This window comes from Homo sapiens, chromosome 5, assembly GCF_000001405.40.
Source record: "Homo sapiens chromosome 5, GRCh38.p14 Primary Assembly".
NCBI classification, from domain to species: Eukaryota; Metazoa; Chordata; class Mammalia; order Primates; family Hominidae; genus Homo; species Homo sapiens.
The window spans coordinates 128,084,733-128,101,207 of record NC_000005.10 but is presented as its reverse complement, the minus strand read 5'-3'; the positions used below and the strand labels follow the sequence as shown (position 1 = coordinate 128,101,207).

The 16,475-nt window shown below is 36.2% G+C and overlaps 1 protein-coding gene across 6 annotated transcripts in view, besides 1 other annotated feature; it reads right to left on the bottom strand.

Moving 5' to 3' along the window:
- The window catches only part of SLC12A2 (solute carrier family 12 member 2), a 105,912-nt gene that overhangs the window by 88,470 nt on the left and 967 nt on the right, over nt 1-16,475 (bottom strand). The gene's annotated exons all lie outside the window — the stretch shown is intronic.
- Nucleotides 16,289-16,458: an enhancer, noted in NCBI's record as "active region_23037". NCBI's record gives its function as "activates an Ori minimal core promoter by ATAC-STARR-seq in GM12878 lymphoblastoid cells {active_cell/tissue: GM12878}" and the evidence as "EXISTENCE:reporter gene assay evidence [ECO:0000049][PMID:35858748]".

Sequence of the window (16,475 nt, the reverse complement as noted above, 5' to 3'; positions counted from 1 at the left end):
TACCAACATTTCCTATCCGTGCTGTCGGTGATTGGTGTATTCAGTGTAATGCTCCCCATACAGACTACTCTTTCAAAACAAAGTATTGTTTTACAGGAATCCAATCTGCTCTGGTTAACAATGCTCTATTAATATCCAGTGGTATTAATGCAAAGCTCAAAACTCAAGTGCCACAGATAAAAGTGGATGGTGTGACCATGTGACTTTACAATGAACCAAGTCAGAACTGCTGATTACAAAGAATTCAGTCCTCTACCTAGCCCATCATGTTCTTTACTAACCATTCAAGACTGAGTTACAACAGAATGCATTAGAAATAGCATTGCTTCAAATCCCACACAACTTGCTAATGTCAATAAACTAAAAGCTTGAAAATATTTTAATTCGAGTACCAGAAAACTTACACCTTCCAGTATCAATTAGTAACTGTACAATTTCTATTTCAAATTATTTTAAAGATGAACCAAAAGTTGGTAAGAAGATAGAGAAGTATATGTCTAGTAGCATCATAAATGGGTAAAACACTGGAAAAGCAGTATGTATCAAGAACCATGTAATTAAAAACTACATTTTAGTATACACCTGGATACATAAGATACACTTGATTTTTCATGTATTTCTCACAGGAATTTGATACTTCTCACTGTGAATACTGGTTAAGTATCCCTTGTCCAAAATGCATGGGACCAGAAGTGTTTCATATTTCAGATATTTTCAGATTTTGGAATATTTGCATTATATCTACTGGAGTTCAGCATCCCTAATCCAAAATGCTCCAATGTGCAGTTCCTTTAAGCACCATGTCAGCACTCAAAAAGTTTTAGATTTTGGAGCATTTCAGATTAGGGATACTCTAGCTCTGTCACCTTTCCCATTTTTCATATAAGGAAACTGAGGGTCAGAGGTGAAGTCCTTTTCCTAGATGTCCCACAAACTATTAAGTAGAAATGCCAAGAGTTAAATCCCTCGAGTGCTACATAATGATGTTTCTGTCAACAATGAACTGCATATACAATAGTCCCATAAGATTATAATGGAGCTAAAACATTCCTCTCCTACTGACGTGGTAGCCATTCTAAGAGCACAGTGCGATGCATTTCTCATGAGTTTGTGGTGATGCTGGAATAAACAAACCTACTAAGCTGACAGTAATATAAAAGTATAGCGGATATAATTATTCACAGTATATAACACTTGATAACAATAATAAATATGTTACCGGTTTATGTACTTACAATTTTTATTATTGTTTTACAGCTTACTTCTACTTACTTAAAAAAAATAATAACTGTAAAACAGCCTCAGGCAGATACTTCAGAAGGTATTCCAGAAGAAGGAATGTATACTGTTATTATAGGAAATGACAGCTCCACGTGTTATAGTGCTTGAAGACCTTCTAGTGGGACAAGGTGTGGGGGTGAAAGTGATATGATCTTGAACCTTTATAGGCTTAGGCTAATGTGTGTGCTTGTGTCTTCCTTTTTAACAAAAAAACAGATGTTTAAAAGAAACAAACCTAAAATTTTTAAAAATAGAAAAAGGTTTGTAGAACAAGGATACAAAGAAAATACTCTTGTACACTTGTACAATATGTCTGTGTTTTAAGTCAAATGTTATTACAAAAGTGTCAAAAAGTTTTAAACAATCTAAAAGTTTATAAAGTAAAAAGTTAAAACAAGCTGAGGTTAATTTATTATTGAAAAATATTTTTTAAATAAATTTAATGTAGCCTAAGTTTACAGTGTTTGTAAGTCTATAGTAGTGTACAGTAATGTGTTAGGCCTTTACATTCACTCAGAGTAACTTCTAGTCCTGCAAGCTCCATTCAATAGTAAGTATCCTACACATGTGTACCATTTTATCTTTTATATTGTATTTTTACTGTTTAGGTTTCTATGTGTGAATATGTAAATACTTACCATTATGTTCCAACCATGTACAGTAACATGCTGTACAGATTTGTAGCCTAGAAGCAACAGGCTACACCATATAGCCTAGGTGTGTAGTGGAATATGCTCTCTAGGTTTGTATCATTATGCAAAATGACAAAATCACCTAATAATGTGTTTCTCTAAAGTATCCCAGTTGTCAAGCAACATACGACTGTATGTGCATGGAAAAGAAACCAGAGTAAATGAAAAAGAAGCAAAGACAGGAAAGAAAATACTCATGATAGATGTAGCTGCACTTTTGTCAGATCCCTGACTTTGCTGCTTTTTAACTGAGAGCCTTTCTCAACTGTGGATAGCTTAAATGGCTGAGAGTAAAGCCCTACTAACTTGAAATATCAGGAAATAGAGCCCAAAGTCAACAGAGGAATTGGAAATTAAGTGAAAATCTTCAGAAAAAGTATAATGATGGCAAGGGTAAGCCCCCGAATCTCTGCTGGCCACCAAATTACACAAATGCAGGGGAGACTCCCCAGGGGCCAACCTAAAAATAAGTAGCTGGAAACCATAAAATACAGAACAGAGATATCAGCTATTGTATGGGGAGAGGAGTGGATGGGGGTGGAAAGTCTGCAGTTTGAGCCTAGATAAAAAGTGCCTTTTAGAACAACAACAAAAAAAAACCAACAACAATAATTTTCAGAAGAATATTTTTAAAAACCAACCCCAAAACCCGTAGTGTCTGCATGGCCAGTTTCCATATAAAAAACTGCTAGACATCCAAATAAACAGGAAAATGTAACACACACTCAAGAAAAAAAAACAAAAAAAACAAAAAAAACAAGCAGTCATTAGAAATTTCCTCCATGTGGCCCATATGTTAAATTCAGGAGACAAAGACTCCAAAAACAGCTGCAATAAATATGTTAAACAAAAGCAAAGGTAAATATATCAATGAGTAACAGAGATGGAATCTAATAGAGAAATGAAAACTATATTTTAAAAGTTAGAAATTCTAGACCTGGAATAAATTTTTACAGAAATTCATGAAAAAAATTTTGAAATGAAAAATTCCCTAGGTGGACTTAATAGCAGAATGGAAATGGCAGAAGAAGGAAGAGTGAAAAACATCAACGTACAGATTCAAGAAACTTAACAAACTGACAAAGGATACACAAATAGAGAAACTCTTGAAGCACAAACTGCTGAAAGTCAAAGGTAAAGAGAAAATCTGGAAAGCAATGAGAAAAATAACATCTTACACAGTTGGCTGACTTCCTACCAGAAACACCAAAGGCCAGAAGACATTGAAATGGCATACTGAAAAGGCTGAAAGAAGAAAGCTGTCAACTAAGAATTCTATATCCAGCAAAACTATCCTTCAAAACTCCAGTAAAATAAAGACATGTTTAGATAAAAAAAAACTAAGAGAACTTGTTGCCAACTGACCTCCATTACAAGAAGTGCCCAAGGAAGGGAAGCAATCTGATAAACAAAAAAGAATGAATATAAATGAAAATATTTAAAAACCATACATATTTTTCTTTTATCTGTTTTTTAAAGCCATGTAACTATTGAAAGCAACAAGAACAACATGTTTATCATCTAGATGACAAGAGCACTGAGGAAAGAGAAAGTACTGTTTTAAAATTCCTATATTTCAGCTGAAGAAATTCAATGATATTCAAAGTAACCACTAAAAAATAATGCAAAGATATATAACTAGAAATTCAACAGAAGAATTAAATTAAATGCTAAAAAATCTTAGCACAAAAAATGGCAGGAAAGAATAATTCGAGAAACAAAAAACAGGTAATAGAAAACAACACAATGTCAGGCCTAATTACAACCAAATCACAATAAATGTAAATGGACTAAAAAGTATACAAAGAGCATGAAATGGCAAGTTATGGTACATATACTTTAAAGTATTATAACTATATGAATATTCTATAGGCAGCATTGGAAACTGATTATTTACTAATGTTACTTAATGCTAGATAGAGAAAGTAGGACATAAAATTTTAGTTTAAAAATGCACAGAAATGCAAAAAGGTTAAGGGTTTGAGATATTTAAGTTACCTTCCCTATTTCTCAAACTTATATTACTTTCTCTTCCTCATGAAACAATAAACATTTGAAATAAGCAAAGTACAATGAAACTCTTTGAATAAAATTTTAAAGTGTTGGTTTTCAAAAAGGTTAATCCTCAGACTCTTAAAATCTAATATTCTAGGAAGGCTTGAGACTGAAATTTTCCAAAATTGTATAGTTCACTGACTCTTTTTTTGTATTGAGATTTAAAACATTGTTAATTTCCTTAGCATTTATGCTAGATGAAGATGTTATAATGATTGAAATTCAGGTCCTGTTCTTATATCTAAAGGGTTATTACAGACTGCTATTTTCTGAGAGCTTTGTTTCTGCTTTTCATGATTTTCTTATCTTCTGTTCCTGCAAGATACCACAAAGCCGTTTATTATGAATGCCTATTTGTTGTTATTGCTGTTATTTTGCTTAATTACCTTTCTTAAATTTGTTTCTGATCAGCAAATCTGCCTGATAATTGGAATTGATACAGGAGAGGCAGTGTAATATTTTCTCTAAACCCAACCTTAGGCAAATCTCTAGAAATTTATAGGTAAGTTAGTACTGAGGCTATGTCCTGCCCAGCTTTGCCAGAAAACATTTCTCTTTTAAAATACTTATTTGCAAATGCTCTCAGTACACAATTCTCATGACGGTTTTATTTTAAACTAAAATAATGAGATTCAAATTGGTGATTAAATAAACAAAAAGCAAATTCACATTTTAATTTTCAAAGAAAAAAATCTTCCTATAAAGAGTTATTTGCCATAACATTAGTTTCTAAAATATCAAGTCTGATAAGTTATGCCCGAAACCATTAGGTTTTATAAAAAAGAGGTTAATATCTAGACCCAACTATTCTGCAATAACTCATCAGGATTCAAACTTATCACTTAGTACTTGTATGTCTGATATCCCTACAGCATTTGAATAGGACTCTTAATAGCAACATAACCATGTTTTGTTCATACTTAATGAGTAAAAACATAGATGTTTTTCCTAATACCTCATCTTTCCTAATATCCAGTGTCTGCTACTAAATAATTAGGTATTAATACCTATTACCTTTCCTAATATCCAGTGTTTACCACTTACAAGTTGATACTAGCTTCTGAGTCTGTCCATCTGTCAACTACCTAGCTTGCAAGGTTGTTGTGCCCAGGCTACAGAAAACTACTGAAACCTATCAGATGTTTAATAACTGACAACTTAATTTAATTCAGTATACAGTTATCTAACAGTTAAAGCCAGAACTTTGATAGATAGTACTTGTCAATATCAGGGTATTTCAAAATTGAGAATCAGCACATCAATGAAAACAAATGACTGTACTCTCAATATGGTAATCAAAGACTCAACATGGTCTAGGTCACCAATTCTCAAACCAGCCTCTCTAAGAATCACCAGGAAAACTCTAAAAACCACAAATACTCTAAGACAGGAGTATCCAATCTTTTGACTTCCCTTGGCCATACTGGAAGAATTGGCTTAGGCCACACATAAAATACACTAACATTAATAATAGCTAATGAGTTTTTTTTTTAATTGCAAAAAAAATTTCATAATGTTTTAAGAAAGTTTACAAATTTGTGTTGGGCCACATTCAAAGCTGTCCTGGGCCACATGTGGCCCGCAGGTTGTAAGGTGGTCAAACTTGCTCTAAGAGGTTGAATAAAACATACTTTGCCTGTTTATAAAAACAAAACACTGCACATATTCTTTGGGAAATGGGAAACAGCCATTTTTCCCCAGGTGGTTCTTTTAGAAATTTTGGAATCACTGGTCCAAAAGAAAAAAATTGGGATACCGAGACCTGGTTTCAAAAAGATTCTGCCCTACCAGGTATTATCTTGAAGACAAACTACAGCCTTGCAAAATGAGACTGTTACTCCAGGACCTTCTAAAAAAACCCACCTACTCCTGAGACTGAAGACCAAATGCAGATATGTAACTTAAGAATGCTTTGGAAACTAACATTTCTAACAATACAATATTAAATTATTCACAGGCCTTTAAAGACCCAAATCTCCACTCTCACAAAGAAAACAGATTCCACTGATTGAAACACTTCATTGAGAACCTAATGTTCCAGACACTTTTATTTAAGGAAGGATCCTATGCAAAATTAGAAGAACATTAGACTCTCTAATGACTTTAAACTAGTAGTCACTAATGTGGAAGAAAAGGAATTAAGAAAAGAAAGAATGAATGAAGGAAAAGAGTTATTTTAGATATCACCTCCCTTGACAGCACTATCTAATATATCTTTCTGTGATGATGGAAATCTTTGGTATCTCAATTGTCCAATGATAACAACTAGCCAAATGTGGTTATTAAGTACTTAAAATGTGACTCAAGTAACTGAAGAACTGAATTTTTAACACAATGTTAATTTAAAGTTAAATTTAACAGCCACAAGTTACGAGTTACTGGAAAGTACAACCCATATTACATTTAAAAATTTATATCATACTTTTGGAAGATATGGACAGGGGATGGCAGAGGAAATACAAAAAACTAAGATTCCATGTATAAGAAACTTTCTTATTCTTAATTTTTTGAACATTTTTCTACTAGGAAGAGATACATCCATACACTAGAACTCTGCAGCCTAAATCTTTTCTATTTTATATTCAATGGATATAAAAACATTTGTCATGAGTATTTAAAAAAGAAAAAAAAAGTCACCAAAATAACAAGAGCTTATGCAGTATTAAACTGTAGGATATTGAAATGAATGCCAACTGAGACTCAGTAATGCCTGCCCCAATTTCCAATGCTAGCTCTGCATGTCTATGATTTTGGACAGGTCATTTAGTTCTTTTGGGTCTTAAACACCACATACGCAAAACAGGGCAATTTCTCTGCCAAACATTCTTTAGAGAATCTAGACAACAGATATAAGGTAGGTAAGATTCTTTTGTACCACATTAATATGTAAAGAATTAGGCCTATTATTCAATATGTATCGATTGAGGGTCTACTGTGTCAGGCCTATACTAGATAGCAAAGGACATAATGGTGATCAATCACAAAGTCAGCTTCTCATGGAGCTTGAAGTTAGCTTAAGTTGACTCAAGCAACCATGTTAATAGATATACTACCACTAACTAAAGCCATTAAGGGAAAATGAGTTTGTTCTAGACTGGAGGATGAAGGCCTCCTCTCAAAAGAAATAAGGACTGAGGTGAAATCTTAAACTGAAAGTTAACAGTGGGTGTATGGAATGGTGGAAGGGAGAGGAAGAGTCCATGGAGAGTACCATGTACAAAGGCCACGTGACCAAAGAATTATTGTGCCACTGAGTAAGTGAAACACTGAAGAAGAGGCAAACCAGAAATAGACAATGCAGGGAGCATTGGGCAACAATGATCAGTTTTGTTTTGGGCACAATAGTGATGGGAAAGCACAGTGAATATGAGAAGCCCAGTTACAAGGCTATTGCTGCAGCTTTGTTGGTGCAAAAGTCATTGCGGTTTTTGGCATTACTTTCAATGTCAAAAAATGCAATTACTTTTACACCAACCTAATAGGATGGTAGCAGCTTAGATGAAAAGAATATTTAGAAATTCAAGTTGACAGAACTCAGTGATTGGATGGGGGAATGAGAGAAAAGTGTCAAGGATGACTCATAGGTTTCTCACTTTTGCAGTATGATGAATAGTGGTACCATTCCGAGAGATATAGCACACACTGGCAGAGGGCCTGGATTCTTGTTTCTGGAGGGAATGGGAAGAAATACTAAGTTTGTGAGCTTGAGTTATCTTTGAGACATAAAACAAAAATGTCAAGCAAGCATTGGATACCCAGAACTCAGAGGAGTGTGGGTAGAAGACGAAATTTCGGGAGTCATTGGACTACAGATGATGTAGCATAAGGAGAGAAAAAAGAGGAACAAGGAAGGAGAAAAGTCCAAATAAAGCCTTGAGGATGTTCAGGTTAGAGAAGGAGGCGACTGCAAAGGATGCGAGGCTGAAAGAGTCAGAAAGGCAGAAGGAAAACTAAGAAGCCAAGGAAGTGACCAAAACACTTCAAAAGAACACCAAATGCTGCCTGAAAGCTGAACACTGCTCAAAACAAAACAAAACAGAACAAAACAAAAACTTCCTGAAATTTGTGATAAGAATGGAGATCACTTGTGACTTTAACAAGAACTATTTATGCAAAATAGAAGCCACACTACAGCAGTTTGAGTAAAAGGTAAGGAAGGAAAGACGGCAATTATAAACAATACTCTCAACAAGTCTGGCTGAGGAAGGAAGGAAAGAGCTTGTACCTGGAAAGGAATGAGAGTTAAATAAAATATTCCGCTTTTTCTGTCAGATAGAAGCTACTCAAATTTCTTTAACAGAAGTAAACTATTGACAGGAACAGTTAAATATCCAAGAAGAAAAATGAAAATCATAGGACCTCAGAACCAAACTGCCAAGTACTGTTTACATCTACACTGTCCAATATAGTAATCAAAGGTCACAAGGAGCTACTACTTCAACACCATTGAAATGTTTGTCTGAATTGAGATGTGCTGTACTGTATGTGAAAAACACACGGGGTTTCAAACTTTGTACAAAAAAAAGAAATTGAGATATCTCATTATAAATGTTTTAATATTCATTATATCTGCAATGAATGTTTTAGACACAGTGTCAAATAAAATACGGTATATTATAAATTAATTTTGCCTGATTCTTTACTTTTTTAAATGACATATGTAGTTCATATTATATTTCTATCGGACAGCACTGATAAAGACCTTAAATGGTAACAGGCCATAATCACAACAACTGCTAGTCCAAACTTCGGACTGGGGTCCTCAGTCCAGACATGCTCTGTGAAGTTTCCTACCTCTTTCCAAGACCGTCAGCCCTATAGCCCAATTCTTGAATTGCAGCTAAATGTTTTAATCACCCCCTTCCTCTCATCTTGGCTACTGCAATGGTTCCATTAAGATGATAATGGGCTTTTACCAAAGTGGTTGTGACTGATACAATGAGAGGTATTGAGATACTGGATGTGTTTCAAACGTATAATTGTTCAGATTTGCTGATAGTCTGGATGGGGATGTATGGACAGAGTAATACCTATTTAGAATGGAGTTGATATTAATGGAGAAGTCTGTGGGAAGGGCAGGTCTCTAATGATTAGGGTCCTCTAAGTCTTTCCCCACTGGAATACTCAAGCCTGCCCTGCCAAACCACCTACGCTCCCTTGCAAAAGTCTCCAAAATGGCTAGCATACCATACCAAATTCTGTTTGAAACTAAACTGATGGAAGAACTAATTCACACTTACCCAACAAAGAACTATCCCACAGGTTTCCAGAATTCTGAACCTAGATGAATATCTAATTTGTGACTATTCAGAAAAAGCACAGAATTTTTTTAAAAATTAAGGCAGGGAAATTTCTGAGTCCAATGATACTATGAGTGTACTAGCCATAATTAGCTTCTGCTGAGAGTCAACATTCCACTAAGCTATTTTTTCTTTTTGGCTTTCCCCCTTCTTCCAATTAGAAACCCCCAAGTTCTCTACCAGCTCCAAGTTTTTCATAATAGCTTTAAGCTAGTGTTGGTAGAGATCCTAGTGAAAATGGAAAAAGACAAAGGAGGGCCTCAGCTGATAGTAGCTTTCATGGTTTAAATGAGACACCACTAATGTTTTTAACTTCAGTATTTTAAGTAATTTTCCTTGTTGCTCACCCTCAGTGGGCTTTCACTTTGTGGAATCAACCCACTAGTTCCCTACCCCTTTGTACAGTATTTGAAAGACTACTAGTTTTCATGGTTTTACCTGAAGAGCAAAAGCACATTTTTACGCTAAAAATGAAAGCTGTTTTCTTAAGTTCTACTATTTAACAAACCAGTATCTGCAATTTTACCTGTTTGCCTCATTGGAGAACTAATTTGTAGAATGAAACCCTATCTTGAGTCCATCTCCCAAACCTGCCCTTCTCACAGACTTCTCCATTAATATCAACTCCATTCTAAATAGGGGGAAAACCCTAGTATTACTCTGTCCATACATCCCCTCATCCAAACCATCAGCAAATCCCAACAATTCTACCTCTGAAACACATCCAGCATCTGAACACCTCTCATTGTATCAATCACTACTACCTTAGTAAAAGTCATTATCATCTTAATGGAACCATTGCAGTAGGCTTCTAACTGGTTTCCTGCCTTCTACTCTTGCCCCCTTACAGTATATTCTCTACACAACAATCAGCGTGGTATTTTGAAAACATAAGTCAGATCATGTCAAATCTGTGCTCAAAACCCTACAATGCCTTCCCCTAAATCACTCAGAGTAAAATCCTAAGTCTTTATCATGATCTGCAAGGTTCTGCGCTATTTGGTCCTCACTACCCCCTGACTTTATCACACTGCCTCATCAATTCGGTCTTGCTGACCTCCCTGTCTCTCCATCACACCAAGCACACTCCCATCTCAGGGTCTTGGTATCTGTTGTTCCTCTGCCTAGAGTGTTCTTTCCCTGGTATCTGCATGGGGGTCACCCCTTTCTAGAGCCTGCTCACATATCAGAGGTCTTCCCTAACAATGCTAAAACAGCATCACCCAGCCATCATCTAGCCACCTTTAATTTTCCTCGCCCTGCTTTAATTTTGTTTGTTTATTGTCTCCTACCGCTAGAATGAAAGCCCCATGACTTTGTTTTGTTTACTGCTATATCCCCAGCATTTAGAACAGTGTTGTTGTTGATGTTCAACAAGGATTTGTTGAATAACTAGGTTCACATTTATTTCACTTCAGCATAGGACTATACTATAGACTTCCCAAATATATATATGTAACATATAATGAAATATCATTGAAAGCAAACACACTCCACACATAAGAACCAAGAAACTCTATTTTGGTCCTTTAAATTCTAGTCTCACAGGATTTTAAAATGTATGAACATAAATACACACAGAGAAGATATCAATTTAGCAGTGTACTGATTTTTTGCTACATTTTAAATCCCAAAATTTCTTTCCTTCTACCCAGGAAATTTTTATGCTAAAAATTAAAAGCTGTTTTCTATTTAACAAAGCAGTAGCTGCAATTTTACCTGTTTGCCGCATTGTAGAACTACTTCAGTCAGTGTACACCTGGGGGAATGCATTTAGTATTATGGGTAAGCCTGACTTCAATGGCAAGTAGCATGGGTTTAGCAGGGCAAAGCCCCTGGCAAAACTGTGAAATCAGCCAAATTTGACTTTGCCACATGTAAATATTTCTTATCAGGGTCCCACCTTTACCCAGTTCTGGACACTACTCTACTCTTCCCCTCACCCTCGAGAGACACATTCTTGTTCCCCCAGGGTGACTTTCAAGGACTAAAGCTATACACTGAAATGATTAATAGTGTGTGAAATTTCTTGACTAGGCATCAACACAGCCCACTCAGAGAAGCAGCTCATGGTTAGAGGAGATTCTGTAATTATTTAGTGTTTTACTTAAAGTCCTTGTTAAGTGACAGGAACTGCTCACCTGATTTGTACATTCCATGAACAAATCTTTATTAAGTGCCTATTCTCTGTATGAAGATAAACACTTATACAGATGCTAGTGAAGAAGTCATAATAATATTTACATCATCACATCTCTTGATTTCTGTCAGTTATATAATCATTCAACTCTCAGGAGTTCAAGGTAGAGAAATGGTGGTGGTAATCCCCAAGGGGTCCCCCTCAACATCTTTGTTATCTTAGAACAGGTCTAAGGGATAGAAAAGATAAAGAGAGAAGAACCTGCTGCTACTATGTCCTAGCATTAAAGTCAGAAAAACCTGGATGTGAAGTCCAAATTGAGCTGTACTACTATTTTTTTTTAGACAGGGTCTTGCTGTTTTGCCCATGCTGAAGCGCAGTGGCTGTTCACAGGCATAATCACAGTGCACTACAGTCTCAAACTCCTGGGCTCAAGCAATCCTCCTGCCTCAGCCTCCCAAGCAGCTGGGACAACAGGCTCCTACCATGGTGCCTGTCCTCCAGCTGCACTTTTTGTAAAAGTGGCTATTAAGCAATTTCTTGTGTTTCTTTCTTTTTTTTTTTTTTTTTGGAGACAAAGTTTTGCTCTTGTTGCCCAGGCTGGAGTGCAATGGCGCAATCTTGGCTCACTGCAATCTCCACCTCCTGGGTTCAAGCAATTCTCCTGCCTCAGCCACCCAAATAGCTGGGATTACAGGCATGCGCCACCACGCCTGGCTAATTTTGTATTTTTAGTAGAGACAGGGTTTCACCATGTTGTTAAGGCTGGTCTCGAACTTCTGACCTCAGGTGATCCACCCGCCTCGGCCTCCCAAAGTGCTGGGATTACAGGAGTGAGCCACCGCACCTGGCCAATTTCTTCTGTTTCTATTAGCTCATTTCATCTTGAGTAAAATGTGTATAAGACCTATTTCTTAGGAATTAATGAAAATCCAACAAGCAAAGTGACACATGAAAGACAATATAGTTGCTCCCTTGACCTTTCCCCTTGTTAATGAGAAAGGCAAAAATACAGGAATCATATAGAAACCCTTGACATACCACCAGCAAAAGGCTCCTAAGCCTTGGCCCAAGGACAACTGCAATGGTAATGCTACCTTTAAAAACAAAAATATTAGAAATTATGGTTTAGCAGTCAAAATAGTAAAACACAAAATAGTAAAACACACACACAAAAAACAAACAAACAAAAACAAAAAACTACTTTAATAATGCTTTAAATCCAGTAGGAGCTAGTATGGATTGTCTACCACTCCACTTTCCACATTTGATAATCTAGCATTCCATCATACATGTTGAAGATGTCCATCAAATACTTTGTTACCCTCCACCTTTTATTTCTTCTTGTAGGGCCAAAAATCCATACTTTGATTTTTCACTCTGTGTGTGTACGTATATACATTTTTAAATCAATTCCTAGCATCAGCTTTGAAGAGTTTCTGCCTTTCCAAAAACTCTTTTCTCTCAGCTTCCCCCAACACTGCTCTCCAGGCTATTTGACAGTATGGCAGCTCTTCCTTAATTTCCTTTGCTAATGGCTCCTCAATCTCTAACAGACCTTTAAACAATCTCCAAGTCCAATGCCAGACCCTATTTTCTGTTCTCTTATCTACCACTCTCCCTAAGTAATTTAGTCCATGACCTTAAGCAACCAAATCTTTATATGTAAATATATATATTTACATATGTTTATATACAGACACACACACACACACACACACACACACACACAGAGCCTCCTCCACGACTCTTGGAATAAGTTGTCTTTGTCTTTATAGGCTACTGAAACAGAATAGCCTCAAATACAAACTTCTCCCAACCACCAAATCTATTCCTCCTCCAGTATTTCTCATCTCAAGCAACAGTACCAACATCTATTAAGTTTCTCAAGTTCAAAATCTACAAGTCAGCTTCTTTCTCACTCCCACATCCAATCCTTTGTGCCACCAACCTTTACTATCTCTCAACCAGACCACAGTAATCACTTGAGTCTCTTTGCTTCCATTCTTGCCCCTGCCAATCCATTCTCCACCCAGAGCCTAAAGATGTTAAAACAAAATGGGTCATGTGGCTACCCCACACAAAATTCTTCAATAGCGTCCCACTACATTTATAATGAAAAATAGTTATCTCCTTTTAGTTATGTTAATATACCACTCTTTCTCACCCCATTACCTTCATGTGCGCTGTCCCTTTGGTCAGGACTGTCATTCCACCCAATCATCAACTTACCCTTCAGGTCTCAGCTTCAATGTCATACTTCTCAAAAAAACGCCTTCCCAAAACCCAATTAAAATTAGGTCCTATTCTATCTTTACAAGTATCCTTTTCTTTCGTAACACTTAAAAAACAGTTATTAACTATGTTATTTGTCCAACTACTTTGTTAATGTCTGTCTAGGCAGAAGCAGTAACTGGTTTGCTAATCACCACATAATCCCACAATGTCACAAGCATGTTGTCAACATCTAAGATACCCCCTTCCCCAATAACTCATAAATGGAGAACTCATGCCTACTGGTCCTAGAATGGCTATATAATATAGCAAGATGCACCAAGGATATTTATCTTTTCCCCTACAGTTGGACATCTAGACAAAATACTTTTAAAAAGTCAGTGATGGATAATGAAAGGAATTCAACTGGAGGGAAGACAATCCAGTCCTTTTCCCTAACAAGTTTCTGAAGTATTTTACTTCTTTTCTTCTTCTGTAGTTCCCAACACAGAGTTAGTCCCATGGTAGATAATTATGCACTTAGTAGACCAAAGTAGAGTATATGCCAATCAATCGACTGCTAGAATTAGGTGTTATAAAAATTCTAAATATTATAATTCACTGAAGGCTAGAAACATTACAGAAGGTGTTAGAGAGGTAGAAGTCAATTTAGACAGAGTAAGGGACAACTTCTGGGGATCCAGCCAACCTGTTATAACCCCTCCTGTCTGCCCCTCTTTCGACAGTGATGTATAGTCATATTTGTACTACTTAACACCCATTTCTTTAATCCATCTGCTAAAATTCTAAGCAAAATTATCTTCAACATGTAGTTATTAGTTAAGCCAATAAAACAGTGGCCATAAAGATTATGAGTGGCAGAAGGTAAACTACAAAGAATTAAAGTACCTGTTGCATAAATGAAACTGAACATAATATTTATATACTACATTCACCTAATAACGTAAGAATTAACAGAATCTAAAATTGAGATCCTAGAGTCTTCTGAAGGGCCAATATAAGAGGGAAATAACAACTAGGTATTATTTTCCAGGCACTGAACATGGTCATTTTTATTGCGCTTTTTTTCTAATCTTCATGATAACCCTGAAAAGCTGAAGCTAAGAGGTTGGGTGATTTCTTCAACTACCATACAACTAACAGTACAGGTGTTGTTTTTTAGATACTTTGAACCAAAAAGCCAAGCAAAAAACACAAACACACAAATCTAAAGTTTTGGAGAACTTGAAGTGCTTTGTTATTGAGATAATTTAATTTAAAGTAGCAAAAACTTCCCTAGGAAGCATATAAGCTCAACATATATACCTTTCAATTGGATGTCTTTCTAAAACTTATGGGTAAATACAGATCACTTTACTGCTCACATACTTGGCTTTGGTAAAATAAATCTAAAATATATCTGTATAATATTTTCATTAGTAAAACTGTCCTAAGATAATGAAAATTGCCAGCTCCATATCTACTTTTGTCTACAATGATTTTTGAGTTTTGAAAAGAAAAAAGAATAGACTTGATAGAAACTACAGGAGTATGAATAAAAAATGTTTTAGACATTGTTTTGCTTCTGATTATGACAAAATACCACAATGGAATAACAAGAATAGTATTATCTAAAGCTAAATGATCTCAGGCTTTTAAACAATCAATAAGCTGTAAGAGCTCTGTAATTACCTCTGTGTGAATGTTACATTATCAAACACTGGGACAAGTACAATCTTGTATGAAATCACTGTATGAGATCAAATAATCATATCCAAAAGAAATCACATACTGGATTTAAACTTGTCCAAACTGTGATCATTTCAACCTATGTGGTACCATCCTCTTGCGTTCACAAATTCCATCAATGTAGTCATTACACACTTGTAAAGGAAGACTTCAAGTAATCCCGGCTCATAAAAAAGTTAAACATTAACGAAATCTCAAAAGCATCAATGTTATCTCAAAACAGTGACATTGAACGCTGAAGAAATAAGTCTTATGTGACCATAAAAAATAGTTACAAAAATCAATGAGTTTATGGGGATGGTTTTCTGTTTACAAAGTGTAACTGCTTATGGCAAAGACCCCACAGGTCTTTCTGGTCATCCTCTACAGAAAAACCAATTCTCCTGTTTCCCTTTTTTCTTTAAAGACTCGCCTCTGTCCCTTTTTTTTTAAATATACACCTCTCCCAAAACGTTTTCATCGCAAAAAAAAAGAGTTATGCCATTATTAGGAACAGCGTGTCCCAAGACAAGATCTCTATGATCCTTTGTATATTCAAGATTGCAAGAATTGAGCTTTAATAACTCATAGACCATAAACACACCCTGTTAAGGTTTTCCTTCAAACAGCAACATTCCCACTCTTGCGATCCCTAATAGGCGTACATAAGCCACACAACACAATCTTTCAAAACGACACAGATGGTAGGTGCTCTCCAACCTCTCTCGAGAGATCCTCACTGCACATTCTCCTCTAAAGGGCCCACAAACACTACTGTCATTCAGAGGGATGGTGACTGTTGAGCGTGGGTGGGAAAGAAAGTGCACACGAGATACCTAACTGGATGGGGAAGGTTGTTAGAGGCAGCCCTCCGGTATCACGTAACTAGCCAAACCCGCTACAAACTTTTGAGAGATTAAGTTAACATTCCTCGGCAATTCCACCCTTGACAGCTGAATCCAGAGATGCCAGCAAGTCGTGCACGTCTACTACTCCCGCCACCTCAACTCGGGAAGAGTCTGCAGCCACATCCCGCGGTCGGCATGCACCAGGGGCTGGGGAAGA